Consider the following 22075-nt stretch of genomic DNA (forward strand, 5'->3'; position numbering starts at 1 on the left):
CTGAAAGCTTTTGTTTCAAATCCTTTCTAATAGGTCTCACTACTCCTCTGTGAATGGTTTAGAGTAGGACCTTTGGTCCCATTCATCCTTCTATGTGGAGCATCAGACACAGTACCTGCGAACACAAAGCAATTCAAAAAGTTTTTTATTAATTAATATTGTATGACCTAATTAAATCCTAAAATTTAAGCTTCTGGAAGCTATCCCAGTGTGCACAGCTTAAGTATGTTCTAAAATGACAGAGGGGCAAAAGTAAGCCATCTTAGGGACATGCGTCAAATTATTCCAAACAACTATCACTTCCAGTAACATTCCTGAGTCATCTCAAGATAAGTCCATGCTGGCAAATATAGAAGTCATTAGGCAAAGAACATAAATTTGCTTAAGATGCAGAGGCAAAAGTGATCCCAATATCAATCACCTTAAAGCTTCATAATTAAAATGAGTCTGGCAATTGTCTCAGACACACACACACACACATACGTGTATGTATACAATGTATACATATTATATATGCATAATGTATACATATTATATATGAACAGAGTAGAAATATACAGCTAAAATTGTTTTAATATACAAACCAAAATGACATTTTAAATAAAAGAGAAGCATATGACATCATCCAAGTAGAAGGAACTGCTAAGAGTCATCTAGTTCAAACTCTAATCTGGTCCATTACCTTTCAAGCATTCAAGTAAGTTTTCTGTCCTGTTTTTTAAAGGCCTCTAGGATTGTATAATGTATATCAAGTGTAAGGCTTTCCAAAATCATCCTTTATTCACTTATGCAAAATAAGAAAGAAAACAATGTGAGAAAAGATGAATATTCTCAAATCTGGCAGTGCCTGCTGATAACTTCTCACTGTTAGATCAGAGAGTTATTGGTACTGTTTGTCATTCATGTCCTGAAATCTTCAAGTACACCAGGAACTGCACATGTTCCCAAACCACCATTTCAAATTAGCACCAACAGATTGGAGTTAATGGCACATATAACACATTCTGCAGAATTTAAAGCTTTCAGGCCAGCTCTAATAGGTAGCTGTGCCTTGATTTGTGGTTATTATCCTACAATAACATAAAAATTAGCTATCCAGGTAAAGAGTGGCTCTCCATTTTTTAGTTGGCTACCCACCCCCAATTCCAAAAGCATAGGTCCATCATGTTCAGATTTTAAAGTTGAAAGAAAGGTAGACACCTTAGACACCTCATGGAGGAGCCCGGAGACAGTTGTGAATAATGCTGCCCCATCTGAGATAGAACCTTCTTTTGTTATGTACTGGGCACTTAAAGAAAAAAAGTACAACTCTGTAATGGCAAAAGAAAGGTGCAAAAAAATGCAGGATAGAAGCAGGGCCTTGAGAATATATCTGGGAGTTGGAGGAAGAAGGTGGGAAAAAGGCTGAGACAATGTACAGCATGGGCTCTGCAGACTGGGCAGGGAGAACATAACAACCAGTAGGCAAGATAAGGAATACAGTTAAATGAATCAATGAGTGAGTAAATGAATGAATGAACCAACATAGGAACCAATGAACATACAAATAAAATGAATGAATAAGTGAATGAGTGGGCATATAAATGAATGAAGTTGCTGAATGGTAGGCTGGAACTAAGATGCAGACAGTCCTAAATGTCATGTAATGAGTCTGAATTCATCCAAAAAAGCAGAATGAGAAAGACATTTCTTAGACTTCTGCAGAGCACAGTCTGCCCAACTGTATGCACAGACCTAACTAAAAGCAATGAGAGTTCACGGAAAGTTTTTAACTCTATTAAATCAGTCACTGTGGAAGATCATTCAGGGAACAGTAGGCAGAGGATAAGAAACAGAAGTCTTACAACAGGTCCAAGGACTACGAGCTAAGCAATTGGGTTGTTGTTTTTCTGATCATGCATATACTAGAATTTTGGATTTGGGTTTTTTTAATTGTTATATAAGTCACGTGCTGTAATATTCATGCTTCTAAAGTATACAATTCAGTTGTTTCTCATATATTTGCAAAACTGTACACTCATCACCACTATGTAATTCCAGAATATTTCATCACTCCATAAGGAAACTCTGGACCTATTAGTGGTTACTCGCCATTTCTCCTCACCTGAGTCCATGGGATTCACATGTTTTAATCTTAATATTAATTTCTCCTTTATGTATCTCCCCAAAGTGCATACAAGGACAATATAAGGGTATCTGCACAAAGCAGACTCTCAGTAAAAGATACATGATTATCTGCCAAAGAAATATTGTCAGAATGCAGGAAGTATCAAGACAATTTTCTTTGCTACCCACCTGATGCGACATTTTTACTCTCACACGGTGAGTAGCAATTTTCAAGGTTCATTAAGTTTTTTAAAGTATCACTTGGTTTCCCAATTGCAAAAGTTTAAGTTGTTTTTCTCCCCACTGGATACCATAACAACCTAAATATAGTGGCCAGATCAAAAGACGGTAAAAGTAGATGGTGCACAACTAATAACCCAATTCAGCAACCACAGCCTTAGATCATGATCGATTTTTCCCTCCACCCTACAGAGTGAAACAAGTTCTGAGAACGCACAGGTGTTTCTCTGCAAGTCCCTGGGCGGAAGTAGCGGGTTATAGGATAAGCCGATTTCTTTTTCCATTTTAAAGTCATCTAAGAAGGTATTTCCATTACATTTTGTATATAATTCTACTACTGAGTTTTGGAATGGCTCTTTGGTATTTGGGAGCACACATTTAAAAAAAAAGGAAATCTCCAAATTCCTCTCAGAGATTATTACCCTGAATTTTAGAACAAATTTCATTTAGGCTTTGTATGTCATCCCCCATTACACACACAAACACATAATTTTTTTTCTTATTTCTGTTAAAAATGTAAAATACCTTTAATGATAAAAAGATATTCCTTAAGATAATTAAATCCAGCTGAATAAAAATATAGTATGTATGTCTTACTCATTTTCCTCATTCTGTGCATAGGGCCAAGGGACTAAATTTACACATAGCACCGAGGCTGTGCACAGTCCTCCTCTGTCCCATCCTCACTCCGCCCCGAGTGCTGCACTGTGAGAACAAGACACCCTCTTCGTATATATTCGCTCACTACTTATGAAAGATATTTGCATTAAAACAGTTGTTTTCATAATACTAAGCTTCTAGGATTTAAAACAAAATAAAGCCCGAACTGAAAACAAAAAACAAAAAACCTGACTGCATTTTGGTCAGTTCATCTCTTCCTATAAACTATTTTAAAAATTTATTTATTTATTTATTTTTTTTCTGAGACGGAGTCTCGCTCTGTCGCCCAGGCTGGAGTGCAGTGGCGCGATCTCAGCTCACTGCAAGCTCCGCCTCCCAGGTTCACACCATTCTCCTGCCTCAGCCTCCCGAGTAGCTGGGACTGCAGGCTCCCGCCACCACGCCCGGCTAATTTTTTGTATTTTTAGTAGAGACGGGGTTTCACCGTGTTAGCCAGGATGGTCTCGATCTCCTGACCTCGTGATCCGCCCGCCTCGGCCTCCCAAAGTGCTGGGATTACAGGCATGAGTCACCGCGCCCAGCCAAAAATTTATTTTTAAAAAAAGTTTAAATACTTTGCACAGTACCTAAATTTCTTTGTACCGCTCTCTATAAACAAATCATGTGGAAAATATTTTCTAAATGCTCAGGTCTGTCAAGTTTGCTAGACATAATCTAATCCCTTTTGTATCTTCTCTCAGTAACTCAAGACTTTGTAAAGCTGCAGGACAGTTAAGACAACAGGGACCCAGGGGACAGAGCCTTCACAATCAGTCACAGCAGCCACCAAACCCCTGGCCTGAGCTATACAGAGGAAGGGGTTTTTATCTTCTTCCTTCACAATGCCTGAATACTCTCAAGGAATCCTCCATAAATAATTCATTAGCAGCAAAAAGAATACAGTCTAATCAATAAGGAGTAATGGCGAAACTCACAGCAGGTTCAGGGGACTGATTGAGTGTTACATTAATGTCTGATTAAGCTTCCTGGGAAATTTTAATTGTTCATAGACCAAAGACCTAAAATTAACCTTTTAACCTTCTGTTATAAAGGGTCTTTCTCAATGGACCAAAAAATGTTTATAAAATATATCTAATGAAAATGGGAGGCTAACATGAGTATTTCAATACATAGATTTTCTCAAGACCACACAGAAAAACAGAACTTGGTTGACTTCATTCTACCTAAAACATTCCTAATCCAATCATATTGTCTAATATTTAATGATTATTTTCCAGTGGGTGTTATAAGAGCTTTATAACACACTTTCATTTCTCAACTATCAATTCCCTATTTTCCAGGAAAGGAATTTAGCAAACTCTGCACTCTTTTTCTCTTTTTCTAGTAATTCCCTTTGTCAATTCACAGCAAAACAAACTGCATGCCATAAGCATTCAAGAAGCTGAGTTTGAAACACATTTCTTTAACAAAAATGAAAAATTCTGATTTTATAGTTACACATGTAGAATTTTAAATTAAAAATTGTTGATATGTGCTAATATTACACAGAAAATCCAAGATGGTTAACAATGGTGGGTTATAGAAGGCCTTAATGACAGGCTATTTCTCCAATTTTGTTTTGTTCAAGCTAATGTTAAAAGAATTGAATATTTCATCACACTCTGAGAAGACAGCAAAGAATCCTGCTGGAAAGGAAAGAGCAGCTGATCTAAGCTTTTAAATATGCCATGGATAGTCCGCACAAAGATATGAATCACCTGTGTTTCACTCTACAATGACACAGCTCTCCCTTTCATTAAGATATGAATCACCCATATTTCACTCTGCAATGACACAGTTCTCCCTTTCATCAAGATATTCTTTTCATCATGTATTGGTTGATCGAAGACAAAACATAAGAATGGACAAATCATTCTTTAGTTACATAAGAATATTATCTAAACCAAGATCTCTTTCAAAAGGATCATGAAGAATGCACATATATACAAATGAGAAGACTTGCCAGTAATGGTCAATGAGGTACAAGTGCCAGGTTTCTGCTGAAATGCTTGGTAAAACAGGTAAAAGGATGATGGGTTCTGGGGATCAGGACCTTTCGCTTCAAATTCCAGCTCCACCGCTTTGGATGTGCATTATTTTGGCCCAGACACTTTTCTCTAAGCCTATTTCCTCCTCTGGAAAATTATTAGTGGTATTCATCTTGTACACGTATTCTTTGGGACTAAGAAAAAATGAAAGACTTACACTTTCTAGCAACAATATAAGGTCAACAAATGTTAGCTTTAGTATTAGTACTAGCACCAGTAGTATTAGTACCGCTAGCAGTTACTGCAGCTGTGCAACAGAGAACGGAAGTGTCCACCATCTTCATTGAAGGAACTGCTCCGTGGTGGATTATTTTCCTATTAAAGTTTATACTTTAAAGCATCAAACCTTTTTATCCCGCCCATTTGGAAGGAAATGCTATTTATTTATTTATTATTTTTTAGAGATAGGGGTCTCAATCTGTCACCCAGGCTGGGGTACAGTGGCACAATCACAGCTTACTGCAGCCTCAAACTCTTGTGTTAAAGTGATCCTCCTGCCTCAGCCTCCCAAGTAGTAGGGACTATAAGCACATGCCATCATGCCCCGTTAGAGATGGAGTCTCACTATGTTGCCCAGGCTGCTCTTGAACTCCTGGCCTTAAGCCATCCTCCCCTCTCCGCCTCCTGAGTTGCTGGGATCACAGAACTGAGCCACCAAGCCCAGCTGGAAGGAAATGCGTTTCAAATGCACATCACGGTCACTGGCTTAGCAGAGTGGAGTCTATCTTCCTTGGCAATTCAGGACCATCTTTAGGATCAATACTTACTATCTTATATAACTTATGACAGTAGAGGTATTGTCAGGGGCTACCCAAGTGGGCAGGCTTCATTCAGGTGACCTATCCGTTCAACTGCTATGTTTTTCTTGAAGCTGGTGACTCTGTCAGGAAAACTCAGAACAATTCTCAGAAAGGTTCATAGGACACTAAATGTCTTAGGGTCACATGGAGCTAATACATAAGGGAGCAGTCACTTGAACCCAAAAGTATCTGGCTTGGAAATCAACTCTCTCTAACAACCCATACTGAACTCAGCTGTCACTGTATACACACAACAGAACTGGAAACTCTGCAAAAGATCTAGCAGGATTTGAATTCCACACGATATGAGCAAATGTTGAACAGGGCGACAGGATACAGCTACCAAAAAGCCTAATGGTAAAACAAAGACAAACAATTATTTCTCAAATTTTATCATTTGTACGGATATTCAAAGGAATTTTAATGTCTTAAGCACACCTTGACAGATGGTGCATTCCTATGATTACTTACTTTCATTTTACTGTCCTCAATTCTCTCCTTCACAGTTATGGTAGCCAACAAAAGCAACAGCAGCATAATGTCTATTAAACATGTACAGTGTGCTAGAAACTGTGGTAAGTCCTTTACAGAACCACAGCCCCCCTGAATGTACTCAAAATTCTGCAGTAAATGACTAACATGCCAACGTAAACACATTTAAAAAAAATCTTCATTTAAATTTATTAAACAGTCCAGAATTCATAAAGCAATGTAAAAACATTCAAGATTCCATTTAGTAAACACATCTCCTGGAATACAGCACTAGTTGCTGTTTAAACCCTGGTGATTGAGTTCTATGTTCAGTGGAAGCAGAGTCGAGCTGGAAGCAATGAAAGACTTATTTTGAAACAAAGTTAAGTTTCCTATAAAGAAGTCAAATTATGTTTGGGTTCATTCTCTTTTTCAAAGTTTTCCTCTTCCTTACTCTCACATTTAAGAAATTACCTTTAAGCAAAAAGAACTTGCTCAGAAGATAGCAGTCACTAAGAATCAGGCATCACCGGCCTTGAACCTCAGTATACCACATTCTTTTTTCTTTCTTTAGCACCAGAAGGATACCTCTCTTCTCGATTCAGTAGTCCCCCTTACCCTTAGGGGATACATTTCAAGACCCTCAGTGGGTGCCTGAAACCACAGATAGTACTGTACCCTCTATACTCTATGCTTTTTCTTATACATACATACCTATGATAAAGCTTAATTTATAAATTAGGCACAGAGATTAACAAAAATAATTACTAATAAAACAATTATAATAATATACTATTCACAGTCTCATGGATAGATTCTTTCTTCCTGTAGATCTTAGCAACCTCAGCGTATTTTTTTTTTCTTTCCTTATTAAGTCGGGAACTTTCACCTTTTCACTGAAGGAAGCACTTTACAGCTTCTTTTTGGCATATCCAAATTGACAGCGCTAGTCTTGCACTTTGGGAGCATTATTAAGTCAAATAAGGGTTACTTGAACACAAGCACTGTGAGACTGCAATACTCCATCTGATAACTGAGGGTGACTGCTAGGTGACTAATGGGTAGGTCGTGTATACGCATGGATACGCTTGATGAAAGAATGATTCATGTCCCGGGGGATACGGGATTCCATCATGCTTCTCAGAACAGTGCACGACTGTAAACCTATGAACTGTTTATTTCTGGAATTTTCCATGTAATATTTTTAGACTGTAGTTGACCAAAGGTAACTAAAAGCACAGAAAATGAAACCTCAGATAAGGGGGGCACTGCTGTACTTTCAGTAGAGAGTTCTCGTAAGTATATTGCTCTTTTCTGGACACCTACAAACACAAATTGGCCAGAACATCATGAAGCATGTTTAGTGTGAAGACAAGTAAGAAGGGCTTGGTGATCTTAGTTCCAACCTTTGGCAGCTTCTTCATGGAGATAAACACGAGGGTAGAAAGTTCTGTGCAAGTCTGGCTGTGCAACCAGCCTCTCTTAATTGTGTAAGACCCACATGGAATGGTAAGAAATAATTGCCACCACAATGGACAACAAAATCTCACTAATGTGAATTAACAGGCAAAAAAGCTAACCTGGATTACATTATCTTTTTTAATGGAAATACAGTTGTATATTTAATACACACACACACACACACACACACACACACACACACACAAACATGCATCCTCCAATTAGACTAACAGTGTAGAGGGTCTTGGGACCTGCTTAAAGGATAGGGACTCTTAGTGAATCATGCATTACTGCAAGAAATACGTCTTCCCAAAGGCTTCAAAACAGGTGCCTTTCTTTGTAAGTTTAAACAGTGTCCTTGCAGTCTTGGGTATACAATAGGATTCTAAGTCAGTTCTCTCCATAACACATTTTGAAAGAAAAAAAGTCAAAGCAGGACAGGCATGGTGCTCACACCTGTAATCCCAGCACTGTGGGAGGCCAAGGCAGGTGGATAGCTTGTTCAAGACCAACCGGGGCAATGTGGCAAAATCCCATCTCCACTAAAAATACAAAAAATCAGCCGGCTATAGAGGCATGTGGCTACGGTCCCAGCTACTTGGGAGGCTGAGGTGGGAGGATCACTTGAGCCCACGAGGTCAAGGCTGCAGTGATCCATGATTGTGTCACTGCATTTCAGCCTGGGCAACAGAGCGAGACCCTATCTCAAATCAATCAATCAATCAATCAAAGCAGCACTATATGAATCATCATAAATGTCAAATTAGTAAGGTCTAAATTCTAGATTCTGCTTATTCATGCTTTGGGATCCCAGCCTCTATGCTTCTGGATCCTCCCATCTGTTAGGTCAACACCATTTACCTATATGTCTAGAAGAATGCTCCACTACATCACCTCACAGAAGGGCACAGGATCAAGATATTGAACATTTGATTTAATGCAGAAAAAGTAACTTTCCCAAAGCCTTGTGCTTTCCAGCCAGGCACTCGTTTCCTCACACAACAGCAGCATGGCTAACCAACAGCTTCCAGAAGTACCTGTAAAGATTGATAACTTTAGCTGGAGGAAAAGCTGGAGATTTTCTTCTCCATTCCCTGACTGTACTTATAAGCTACTTACTGCAGCCCGGCAAGGCTCTCCTCACCTGGACGGACAGCCTCCCTGTCGAGCTGACAAGAGCTGACGGATACACCCGCCAGAGGACTACTAAAGATCGGGATGCTGCTACCGCCATGTCCCTGGCACTCTTCAGGGCAAGCCTGGGTACCAATGTCTTCTCTTACTCATGGCAAACACTGACGTGGAACCAGCCTAAAAATTCTAACACAGCCCCTTCTCAATTAAATTTATTGAATGTGTTTTTGGTATTCGAAGCTCATTTTTATGTTTGCAATAATGTCAGTACAACTGATCCATTATTATTAAACTACAGTTTTTAATAAAACTCCATTTCACCATAACATCTAAAATACTGCAGCTGAACTTGATTAATTATACCCTAGAAGAAAGTAATAACAGATTTCCCTATTTCAAATACAAAATGGGAAGCTCCTGTTTTATTCTTCTAATTATATGAGAATGGGCAAAGTAATATACCCTCCCTGTCAACAAATTTCAGAAACTTGCTTTTATCTTTTTATTTTTCCTCCAGTCAGAGTCCTTGTTAATGACAGGAGCATATCATAATTTAATTAGCTGACACCAACTGGCAATCTACCCACTTCTTTTTAATTGGAATCATTTCATAGAACTATCCATAAAGGCCCATTTTGCATAACTAATAACCTTCATAAACAAGACCTTTGGAAAACTGCTGACTTTAATGGAAAGAGATAAAACACTTGGACACAGGCACCATGTTCCCACTTCACAGAAGACTAGGGACACAGAATTTACTCTGCAATGTATATAACAGAGCTAATTCAGGAAGCACGAATCGGGTTTCCCGGATCTGGATAGCAAAAAACTTCCAGAAAGTCAACTTCCCCACCGCCTCACGAAAGCATCCTAATAGTTTTGTATAGTGGAAAGAACACAGGCTTGAAAATCTGAATTTGTCTTTCTTCTTTCTTTAGACAAGGTCTCACTGTGTTGCTCAGGCTGGAGTACAGTGGCTATTCACACACTCAATCATAGTAAACTATAGCCTTGACCTCCTGGGCTCATGGGATCCTTCTGCTTTAGCCTCCTGAGTTACTGAGACTACACATGCCTGGCTCAGATGCAAATTTTAATCTGAGCTACAATGTGACCTTGATCAAGTTCAGAAACTTCTCTGAGCTTCTGGTTCTTATTTGCAAAATGAAAGCGGTATAACATCTAACTCAAAAGGCTGTCAGGAATATTAGTTATAATGTATGTAGTGTCAGCAGCGAATAGCTCAATAAATAGCTTTTATTCTCCCAATTATTACATATTAAATTTGACTAATAATACTGAATTGTTGGGATCATATTAGATAATTTTGTGCAAGTGCTTAGACAATTAAAAGGCAATATAGGCATCTGAGCTTCACTGGATTAAAGACAAGTTTTAAAGTGCTGTTCTTACATTTTACTTGTTTTGATTATTGATTAACTGCTATATACTCACCAAATGTTGCTGCCTTCAATGAACCTGAGATCTTAAGAGCACAGGCTTGGCAATCAGGTGACCGAGTGTGAACTCAGCCCACTTTCTAGCTGTGTAACATTCAGTAAGTAGCGTAAGCCTCTTAAATTGACTTTCCGACCTGAGAAAAGCAGCTAATTAAAAAAACAGCATTCATCTCACAGACATCACGAAGGTTAAATGAAACCATCCATGTAGACTGCTAAGCATAATGCCTGGCACAAACTAAGTGGTCAATATATGTTAGTAGCTATTATTGAATTAGTGACAATCCAAGATCGAATCTGATACAAATGAGGAAGTGAGACTTAGAAAGGTCAAAGAGTCTTACCGATATTAAGGAGTAGAGGAAGGAATTTTATTCCAGGTCTGTCTGACTTCAAAACTCATATTCAACCCTAATGCTTTTAAAGCACTCTTAAAGCAGGCTCAGTCATTATTTTCTAATATACAGTTATTGAGTATTCACAGGCTGATCGAAGTGCCAATTGTTGAGGATATAATCGCAAGAAGGTAGAGGGTATCCCTGCCCTCAGGGAGCTTACCTATCTGGGAGAAATAGATAAAGGGCAAGACAAGAAAGCATGCCATGTTCTCCGATAAGGAAAATACACCAGCCTAAAGGTGCACCATGCAGGAAGAACAGGGAAGTGAATAAACATGAACTTTTTAGAAGAATCCAGGTACTAAAACAGCTTATGACCTTTTCTTAAAACTAAAATTTCTAGGGATTTCCAGCAACCCAGGACATTTGTATATCAAAGAATCAAACTACAGAACTGTAAATGGACCAAAAAGAAGAAAATGCTTATGGCCTGACCTCAGTAGAACACGTACCTGCACATGTGAGTTAACGACAAGGGTTTGGGAAAGAGACCTCTGTCCAAACAAACCTCCTTCTCCGCCAAGTGCCAACACCCATCCTTCCTTCAGCAGTTAAAGAGGAGACAGTAAACACAATTGGCTTTCTCAGAATGGAGGGTATGCAGACCCGGTGCAGGGTAAGGCATAAAAGACTAACAGAAGACCGTCCTGGGGGTGAGTTTTGAGGAAGACAGAATAAACTAGAAGTGAAGCGGAGTGTGGAGAACCAGTCTGGGAAGCAGAGACTAGAAAGGAGGCAAACTGCCCAGGAATCTAATAATGGGGCCTACACACCCATGCTAGCCAGAGCCACATACTCCAATTCACCTAGAATTGGCACAACAGCACCAATTCTGAGAGGAGGAAGGGGAAGGATGGCAGAAGAGAAGAAAGAAAGCAGCAGCTGAAAATTTCAAGAACTCTCCAAACTGTTCCTCCCTTGGTGAAGGTTGATGGTGTCGTCCAATCACTGCAGCAAACTGACACAGGGGCCTGCAGACGGTTGTGTGTGGCTTTTGGAGTTAGAGACAGGCCGTTTTCTTGTTAATCGGCAGGCAGGCGTGACAGTGTTCGGCAGAGGACAATCTGTTCGAGAATAATTAGATTCCCCCTCGCTTCTTGCGTTGGTGGCGGAAGCACCCGGAGTATTTACAATACACCATTTTGCTTCCATCCGAGTCCATATGTTCGCTGGTCAGGTTAAAACTGAGGCTGCATGGCACATTTTTCACTGTAAACAACGCTGCCCCGGCAAACCCTAGGGGAAGGGAGGCGATCTTGCCCTCTTAATTTCCCAGTCCAAGGAAAGGCTCGCCTTCAGGAACGGCAGCAGCTTCGATATTTATTGCTGGAGAAAGGCCACACCTCCGGGGAGTCATGTCAGGAGCCATAGGTCCAGCCAGGGGAGCAGCCCTCATTTGATGTGAGACAAAGAAGCTAGAAAACAGCCCCCATGAAGAGTATGCCTTTATAACATGTTGAAAGTCACGTGAATCAGGACGTGCTCGGTGGTTGTAATTCCATCTATTGATGGCAGCTGCTGCTGCAACAGGGAGGCCGGCTAGGGCTGCACACTCCATGGAGGCGGTGGGAGCCTCACCCATTCTGGGTTGGGGCAGGGGCTCCGTGGGTGCCACTGCAGCCACCCAAATCGTGGCTGCAGACCAGGCTTCCTGCTCTATGGAGCAGGCAGGCGCCCCGCCTTCCTGGGTGGGGCTACAGCTGCCCAAACTGATGCTGGAGATCGGAGCTTCCCTGTGCTCTTGGTGGGGGCCGGGAGCAGACAGGATCTGCCCTCCAGGGTAGAGCTGCAGCCTCCCTGCTGCGGCTGCAGACCTGGGCTTCGCGCTCAATCGAGCAGGCAGGAGCCAGGGACAAGAGGGAGCCCCACCTTTACTGAGTTGGTGGAGCGTGAACTCCGCAGGTGCAGACCTGGCATCTCTGCAGCCTGCACCCTGGAGGGCCCGGGAAGACCCGCCCCCCACTTCATCCCTGCAGGCTCGGGGGTGTCTGCTCCCGCTTCCCAGCCCCTCTCCTCTCCAGATGCCTGCTCTGATCTCCGACCGGGGTTGGGGCCGAGCCCGGGGCAGCAGGAGGCAGAGAGATTCCTGGGTGGAAGGCGGCAGTCCCCGTAAGGCCCCTCCTTCAGACCAGGGAGGGCCTGAAGGCTGGGGGCCAGGATGCCAGTCCGGGACCGGAGTGGGGACTTGTGGTGCCTCGTCTGGGTGCACATGGAGGACCATGGGCCAATCGGCAGGAACTTCCTCCCCTCTGAGGTCCATAAAAGCCTCAGGCTCAGCCAGAGCAGGGCACGTGGAGACAATGGGCGAACCAGCTACAGAGAGGAGCTGCCCTCTGCTGAGAGCTTCAGAGACCTGCAGAGATGTCTGAACGGCCTGCTTGTGAAGAGGAGCCACCATCTCCAGGGCCTCCTCTCTGCTGAGAGCTCAACACTCCACTAGATGACCTGCCTACAGAGAGGAACTACCCACAGTGGGCTTCCTCTGAGCTGTTCTGACACTCAATAAAGCTCCTCTTCATCTTCTTCACCTTCCACTTCTCTGAGTACCTCATTCTTCCTGGACACAGGACAAAAACGGGCAAAGGTGCCACCAGCCACAGAGGTTTCCGGCCAGAAAAGCGACACCCCGAAGATCACATAACACTATGATTTGGAGGCAAAGAATGGAGGAAAATGGAGGGAGGAAGAAAAGATGGAGAAAAATCTCTTAGGCATACATGCCTGCTGTTCAACAAACACTGTGCTAGGCAAGGTATACAGGCCATCTCCAAGAAAAGATGACTAAGTGACTTCTGGAACGAAAAGCACAACTGCCATCCTAACCCCCTCCCCAACATTTTCCAGGGATCAGCCCTTTACTTGTTAATAAGCAAGAAGACAATGCATCTGTTGCAACTGTGCCATCAGAGGACACCAGGGCAGAGTTACTGCAGCACTTAATTAGCTTAGTGCACTTGAAGGCTCAGCCTGGAGTTCTCAGGTGAGTGGCAGGAAAACCCTACAACTCAGGGTGGGTCCCAGGACAAATGCAGCTGATGTCAGAAAACTATGTTTGGCAATGCAGTTAGAGACAAGGAGTAGACGCCTCATTTGAGAATCATTTCTCGAAAGAAAATTCTAGAAATGTGACAGTAGCTGGAGGAGGATGTGGGGTCAGTAGAGATGAAAAATATGCAAGGCCTGATTTTTAAAATACCTCTTTTTGCATTTCAATTAAATGATTAAAAATTAGCACTAAAAAGAACCATGGAGATCTATATCAAAACCCTTCTTTTCTCTACGAAGAAACTGAGATGCAGAAATGTTGAGTGACTGCTTGTCTGAGACACCTAGCTAATGAAGAGCAGGGCTCGACTTAGAATTTAGGATTCCTGTCCCCATCACTGGGCCTCTACTCCATCTACCACAATGCCATGCCATGTTTCTCACTCTGCTGTGACTGATCCTCAATTTTAGTTTTAGTTTTGTCTTTATTAATATGTTTCAAAATACCCTAAAGAGAAAGGTATCAGATTAACTAGCAGAAGTGATAATTTTTTTTCCTTTCAAAAGGAAAATTTTAACTACCTTCACCAACAAAGGGATTAAGTCTGCTCTATGATGGAACTGCATTAAAAATAATGAGGCAGATAAAAAAAAGCTTTTATTATTTTAATGAATTCAAAAGCCGGAAGCATTATTGAGATGAGCAGTGTGTTACTGCCCTAATCCAATGTTACCATGTTTTAAAAATTATTCTGGGTAGGAACTTTTCTGCTACATCAGACAAAACCCCAAAATATGCCAAGTAGACAGAATATTAAATTAACATCAAATCCTCATCCCTTTCAAAATAGAGATCACGATTCTAAGGAGCATCCTTGAAAGCACCACCTATAAGACACAAAACTTGCTCATATGCAAAGATCACCCCTCTGTCTACAATGTAACCCAAAGATTCCTCTGTCTGCCATTTAACCCATGTCCTAAGAAATTTATGATTCTACACATTCTTTATCTGAAACAACCATTAACTTCTATATGTACAAGCAAGTTAATTTAATCTCTCTGTTCTTTTGCATCCGCAGCTATAGAGAAAGAAATTCTGTTTTTTTAACTTACCTTACAGGGATTGATTCTATAGAAGAAAACATCACAGTAACATTTGGCATAAACACAAATTTGCCACTTTAATGTGATACTCTCTTAAGTCTCAGAAGAAAATAACAGAATCTTCTTTCCCAATTTCAATGTTCACAGAAATGTTACTCAAAGAAAGTATACTATAAACTATAATATTCCATTCTTGTGTACTATAGACTATAATATTCCATTCTCTTTCAAAACAGATCACATTTCTTGGCCATTAAGTTGACACCATTCTGCCACATTCTTGACACATCAAGTTTAGAAATTAGTACTCGGGTAACTGTGGGAACAAAAATGACTCTGGTAAAGTGAAGTTAATTACATTTAACTTATTCTGAAGGGTTGTATTTTCTACCACAGCTCACTTATACAGACCACTCCCATTCTGTAATCAGGCCTAGTATTACAAAGGTATGCTGAAGCATTTTTTACATCTGTTGGTTAAAATGACTTATTACTATACTGCTAATTCTGTACATACTGTACTAATGTTTCTGTCTGCATAAAGCACAAGAATAGCCTATATGGAAAAACTGGGACCCAAACCAAGGATTTCTCCTCTGCAGCTATGGAGGGGATGAAGCGAGTCTATTTGTCTAAGAAGGGAAATGTCTGGCCCAGCCGTGGAAGTCCAGGGGTTGGGGGGACATGGAAAAAGGCCACAGGGAAGGAGACAAAACCAGAAAACCCTGTCCACATTACCACAGTGACATCCCAATGGCTTACTCACTTCCCCTCCAGAGCCCTGCCAAAGAGCCAAGAAGTCTTAAACATCATGCCCCAGCTTACCATCCTAAAAGAGATGGAGGAAGGCTTGTTCAGATGGCTGGCTCCAGGTTGAAATGATACTCTAGAGAAGTTATTACTCATAAAATATTCCTTGGCTGGGCGCAGTGGCTCACGCCTGTAATCCCAGCACTTTGGGAGGTCGAGGCGGGTGGATCACGAGGTCAGGAGTTCAAGACCAGCCTGGCCAAGATGGTGAAACCCTGTCTCTACTAAAAATCCAAAAATTAGCCAGGCGCGGTGGCGGGCACCTGTAATCCCAGCTACTCAGAAGGCTGAGTCAGGAGAATTGCTTGAATTCAGGGGACAGAGGTTGCAGTGAGCCAAGACCGTGCCACTGCACTCCAGCCTGGGTAACAGAGTAAGACTCTGTCTCAAAAAAAAAAAAAAAAATTCCTTGAGGGGAAAAAATAGCCCCACAGCCCCCTACTTTCAATATCATTTTGTCCTTCTACAAGCAGGATAGATGGACTTCCTGTTAGATAATGAATCTAACTCCCTTTTTTTTTGATATGGTACAAAAAGTATGGGGTTCATGGCCAAGGTGTTTAAAATCCTGGCTCTGCTACTTAGTGCAATGAACCAAGTAACTTTAATTTCTTTGACCTTCAGTTTTCCCATCTGTGAAATGAGGATAACAAACCTATGTTGAAAGACTACTGGAACAAAGAAAAAATAAAAAACTCTTTGAAAAGGACCTAGCCTATAGTGTCACATTCAGCATCTACTCAATAAATATTTGTCGATCCTTCCTCCACAGTCCTCACTCCACCAGCAGACAGATTCAAACATCACTTGATTAGATGAGCAAATAATTTTCTTTAACTACCCAAGTATCTTTAAGGCCCGTTTCAACCCCAGAAGTAGATTCAATACCATACAGAGGTATTTTCAGAGCCTAGCTGTGCATTCCCAAGGATTCAGGCGTATGTAGGCCTGTCTGGCATTCTACTAGGCCTGCTTTCCAGTGACCTTCCTGTGGCAGGAGCCGAGATCTTCTGGAGAAAGTAATGGGAAGAAGCAAATGCTTACAGACTTGGTCAAAAGAAAATGGAGAAATAGAAGAAGGAAATTTCAAGTGGACAACTCCAACCCCTGAGTCAGAGGTCAGCACTGTGGGATGTGGGGGCCAAAACAACAATAAATGAAAAACTACTTCACTGAGAACGCTGTTTCTGGGAGCTCAAGGAGGAACTACTTCCTCTGGAGTCTGTGAAACAAAACAAGCTCCCTGGAAGTGAAGGGTTCAGCCCAGTGGCTGCTGGAGCAGAAAACAAACATGAAAGTGCCTGGGTGACAAAATAAGAGAGGCTCCCGGCAGGCAGCCCACATCCAGAGGAGAGAAAAGGCAGCCTGGGACACCTGGCGTCTGGAGAGCAGGGATGACGATGTAGAGAAGTGGAGGGAAGAGAGTGTTTGTTAACACATCCTGGGGACAAGGGTGTAGTCCACAGATCAGCCACAAGGACACTCAGAACTGACTTGGAGGAGCTTGTCATTGGCTATGTGAAGACCGAGCATGGAAGTACCATGTTGTTGCTATTTTCATCCTGAGCAATTATAAGTTGGTAAAGCAAGAGTTATGTGCCTTGAAACTAATGCCACCTCAGTCTAGCTGCTCACTCAGAGCAAGTGCAGAGGAAGGCAAGGGAACCAATATTCTCCATACACTTGCTATGTTTTACGCACTGAGTGAAGATTTTTCTCATTTAATTGCATGTAATTTCATTCTAAAGAGCAGACAAACAATTTCATTCGATTAGATATACTTCCTCAATAAAGGCTTTTGAATGAAAGCAAATTTCATTTTGCTGATCAGGCTACACTACGTGAGTGTGTCCTTATAGAAATAAATTAACCTGGAATTAACATTACGTATTTTTGTTGTTGTTTTCAAAGACAGAGTCTCATCCTGTCACCCAGATTTAACCTTTCTCAGCCACATCTGCAAAATGGGGATGGTAAAAATAGGTAATGATAGGAGCTATTTCACACTGTTTTGAGGACTGTGTTACTACACAGTAAGGTGCCTGGCACAAAGTAAGCACTCAATAAATGTTAGCAATTTTTATGTTTTATAACACTAGGCTGCTAAGCTTTGATGGAGGAAATCATGCAACAAATTCTGGGGAGTGTTTCCTCAACATATCTGATGTCCAATTTTCTCTTGTAGCTGCATGGGGCCCAGAACCGTATCACATGGTGCAGAAGTTCTCTCAAATTTCCAACTGTCTACTCAAGCACCAAGCCTCTGCGTGTGTGCGTCTCCCTCAGATGATCTTGCTTCCAAATTCACAAAGAAAACAGAAGCCACAGCCCTGCTACCAACTTCCTACCCAACCCCCATAAACAGCATTATCCTTCTCCTTTAAACTCTCCCCACTTTTGAGAGGAACAGTCCTCCTACACAGACCATCCATTCTCCTGTGTTCCACATCCTCTCTGTCTCCTACAGTCATAACCTGGACTTCCTTATCTTCAGTCTCATTTACTTCCCACTCATCACTTCCCCTCAGCCTAAAACCCTGCTGGAGATAGGGAAGGAGGGAGGGAGGGAGGGAGAGGGGGAGGGAGGGAGGGAAATATATTTTATTTATATTTTGATTGGCCGATTGCTTTTCAGGGTTTCACTCTGTCACCCAGGCTGGAGTGCAGTGGTATGATCATAGCTCACTACAGCCTTGAACTCCTGGGTTCAACAAATCCTCTTGCCTTAGCCTCCCCAGAAGCTGCGCCACCATGCCTGGCTAATTACTTTTTTGTTTTGTTTTGTTTGTTTTTTAATACAGACAGGGTATCAATATGTTTCCCAAGCTGGTCTCAAACTCCTAGCCTCAAGCAATCCTCCTGCCTTGGCCTCCCAAAGCCTGGGATTACAAGTGTGAGCCACCACTCCTGGCCTAAGTCTTCTATTTTAAACAATCCCACCTTTAACCTCATTCACCTCTAGCTACAACACTTTATTTATCCCTTAATAGCCAGGTTGCTAGAAAAAAAACCCTTTATACTTGCTATCATCTCCATTTCCCCAAATTTCCAACCTCTCATAATATGTACTGTGACATCATTAGGCACTAAATCTACCCTTGCTTTGGGTGGGTTCTAATGACCTCTTAAATGCAAAGTGCAGAAGACTTTAATCCTTTCTGCTTACTGCCCCATACATGAGTCACTCCCTCTTCTACATTACTGTGGCCTCATTACACTGCAAGTTTACTAAAGGCAATCCATCAATCAATCTGGCATAGCTTTGGCTATATCCACTCATGTGGTATTGCACGCAGCCTACATTCACTGAACGAATCAATGGAAATAATAAGGGCCTTAAAGGCTCCGATGGCTTCATTGTGCCATCCGCTCTGCTTCTATCGCTACTAACTATGGAAAAAGTTAACATTTCTCTTACTAAGTGAATGATACCTTTGGCAAAGTAAGATATAAAAGGTGTAATGTTCTAGCTGATCCTGCTCCATACAGCTCCAGGTAAGTAATCTGCCCCAGTGAGAGATCTGTTTATACCGGCAAAGTGCTTCAGGGCTTAAGTCTTCAGAATTTGACCCCCGCTCACGGCACAGAAGGATGCCCAGGACACACTATAAAGCTATTAGAAATTGAAACCAATAGCCCTCCTAGTTTCTTTTAATAGACTTTCAGATGCAGTGTTTTCTGCTTTCCTTTAAAAACAGTAGAATAGTAATTAACATTTAGTAATTTTCAAAGCAGTTGTGCAGGAAGATTTCCTGAACTATGAAAGCCCACAAATTTGGCAACAAGAAGTATCACAACAGAGAAACAGCTCTTGGTTTATTGTTCATTGTTCCCCACACTTAGTTAATGTGTTACAATGACAATGTATGAAATACATGAAGTTACCATCAAAACAAACAATGTTTTTTTTTTGTTTTGTTTTTTGTTTTTTGTTTTTTTTTTGAGATGGAGTCTCACTCTGTCGCCCAGGCTGGAGTGCACTGGTGCAATTTTGGCTCACTCTAAGCTCCGCCTCCCGGGTTCATGTGATTCTCCTGCCTCAGCTTCATAAGAAGCTGGGACTACAGGCGCCTACCACCACGCCTGGCTAATTTTTTGTATTTTTAGTAGAGACAGGGTTTCACCGTGTTAGCCAGGATGGTCTCGAGCTCCTGACCTTGTGATCTGCCCGCCTCGGCCTCCCAAAGTGCTGGGATTACAGGCATGAGCCACCGTGCCTGGCCCAAAACAAACAGTATATTAAACAAGAAAAATGAATTTATGAATTAGCTTTCTTCCCTCCCAAACTCCCTTACTCTACACAAGTCATTCCTGATGGAGAGATTGAAATAAAATGAGAAATTTAATAATGAATAATAGTAATACTATTACTAATAATTCCAGCAATTATACTGGTATTACTTTAAAAAGAAAAAAATATTGCTTAATCTTTAGCTTTTGCTCCACAGCAAATTCCAATTCTTTCAGGACACAGCCAAGAGAAAGCAGATAATGTTCGTCCCTTATTTCCATACGTTTCTTGTTTCAAAATGGCAACCCAAAAGGAATACTCCACTGATTGTTTGTAGATATGCTGATTAAAGAAAAATATAAAATTTCAAGCCCATCAACCAGTGCTGCTCTATAATAATCAAAAACTACCTTTACAATAAAAGGTTATCAAACCAAACAGTCTGATCATCACATAATTTCTCATGAAAGCTGAAAAGGAAATACAATCATTCACTTATTGGTTCATCTTTCACCAAACACTTATTGTACTAAATGCTGGCAATACAGAAGTGAAGATCTGCTTCATGCCCTAAAGATGCTCATAGTTAGCACCAAGAACTACACATCTCGCCAGGTACAGGGGCTCGTGCCTGTAATCCCGGCACTTTGGGAGGCCGAGGCAGGTGGATCACTTGAGGTCAGGAGTTCGAGACCAGCCTGGCCAATATGGGAAAATCCCATCTCTACTAAAAATAAAAAATAAAAAAAAATAGCCTAGTGTGGTGGCACGCACCTGTAGTCCTGGCTACTCAGAGGCTGAGGCAGGAGAATCGCTTGAATCTCAGAGGCTGAGGTTGCAATGAGCCAAGATTGTGCCACTGTACTCCAGCCTGGGTGACAGAGCGAGACTATGTCTTCAAAAAAAAAAAAATATATCGACCTCTAAGAATCACATTTATCTTGAGCTACAGAGTTCGAAGGACAGAATTTTTTTTTTTCAATTAATGTTAAGGTCTGGAAGTTTGACTTTGGCTCTTAACCTTTGGCTCACATACCTAATTTGGTTACTATGTGTTTACTACATGCAAAAAGACTTCCTTGGGCCTATGAATCATTTCTAGTAAATGGAGCTAATAATAACTTTCCATCAGAAAGCTCTTTGTCCCATTTTTGTATCAGAAATGGGCAAGAAAAAAGTGAAACAAAATAAAACAACAACGTGAAGATTTTTTTAAATCCTGCCCCTGGGATGTTGATGAGGGCAGAGACAAGCAATTTACCTGCACACAAAATTAAGTTTTTTAAATAATTTAGATTCTAAAGAAAGGAACTTTTAGAATGACATCTGCTAATACTCTAAAGCTTATAACTCTGAGTTATTGGGAAGGTAAGAACATATTTTCCCCATAAAAATAAGTTCTATATCATGGTTATGATCCAAGGTGAACTCACAGAAACCTACTTTCTTTGGTTCCTTCAATAAACATTAAAAGCCTGTTATTTGTGAGGCACTATGCCAACCATTAGGGATATAAAACCAAATAGGACTCAGTCTCTGCCCACAGGAGCTTAAGAGTCTAGTGGAGGAAACTAAATTAACATTTGCAAGAAATGCTGTGTTTCCTAAAATATCTACAAGGTGTTTTGGGGAGCAAAGAAAACGGGCACCTTAATCAGACTACGAAAGGGAGAGTCACAGAATGCTTTCCCTTAAGAGGTCATATTTGAGCTGAATTTGAAGGCTGATGAGGAATTACCTACACTAAAAAGGAAATCACAGGTAAAAAGGTCGAACAAACCGTATTTAGTGATTTGCTGAATCATGGAGGTGGGTGACACAAAGGACCCTAGAATGACTCAGGTGTCTGGTTTGGATAAACAATCCAACGTAGGCACCATTCACAAAGAAAGGGATGCTAGGAGGTACGAGGGCAAAGATGAAAAGGTCATACGCAGACCGCAAAGCTTAAACCTTCGCCTCACATCTGTTTGGAACAGCAGTAGCTTTTTACTTAGCGCTTACATCACCAAAGCCAATGAGTAGCGAAGTCTGGGACGAGGACAAGAGCTGCCCTTGGCATCACTGCCTGTCACCTGTCCCTTCGGGGCGCCCCCTGCCTCCACTGCTTGGCCTCTGTTTGTAGCTTGTGTTTTGGCCTTGCCAGCAAGTGTCCTTCAGG

At 41.4% G+C, this 22075-nt stretch overlaps 1 protein-coding gene across 13 annotated transcripts in view, besides 2 other annotated features; it reads right to left on the minus strand.

The window, feature by feature from the left end:
• Positions 1–22075, minus strand: part of SMYD3 (SET and MYND domain containing 3) — a 757933-nt gene that overhangs the window by 385828 nt on the left and 350030 nt on the right. Inside the window, exon 1 of one of the 13 annotated variants that reach the window (XM_024449149.2) lies at positions 1–22075. This exon is cut by the window's right edge and continues 12131 nt beyond it. The exons of the other annotated variants lie outside the window; for them this stretch is intronic. The gene's annotated coding sequence lies outside the window, so the exon portion shown is untranslated. 13 annotated transcript variants of the gene reach the window in all.
• Positions 4316–5515: an enhancer, noted in NCBI's record as "P300/CBP strongly-dependent group 1 enhancer chr1:246302792-246303991 (GRCh37/hg19 assembly coordinates)". NCBI's record gives its function as "activates an origin of replication core promoter dependent on BRD2, BRD4, P300/CBP, MED14 and CDK7 cofactors, with strong dependence on P300/CBP, by STARR-seq in HCT116 cells {active_cell/tissue: HCT116}" and the evidence as "EXISTENCE:reporter gene assay evidence [ECO:0000049][PMID:35650434]".
• Positions 18076–18167: a transcriptional cis regulatory region, noted in NCBI's record as "SMYD3 Hub Enh region targeted for CRISPR interference". NCBI's record gives its function as "positively regulates SMYD3 gene expression in K562 erythroleukemia cells {active_cell/tissue: K562}" and the evidence as "EXISTENCE:mutant phenotype evidence [ECO:0000015][PMID:29507293]".

This window comes from Homo sapiens, chromosome 1 (genome assembly GCF_000001405.40).
Source record: "Homo sapiens chromosome 1, GRCh38.p14 Primary Assembly".
NCBI classification, from domain to species: Eukaryota; Metazoa; Chordata; class Mammalia; order Primates; family Hominidae; genus Homo; species Homo sapiens.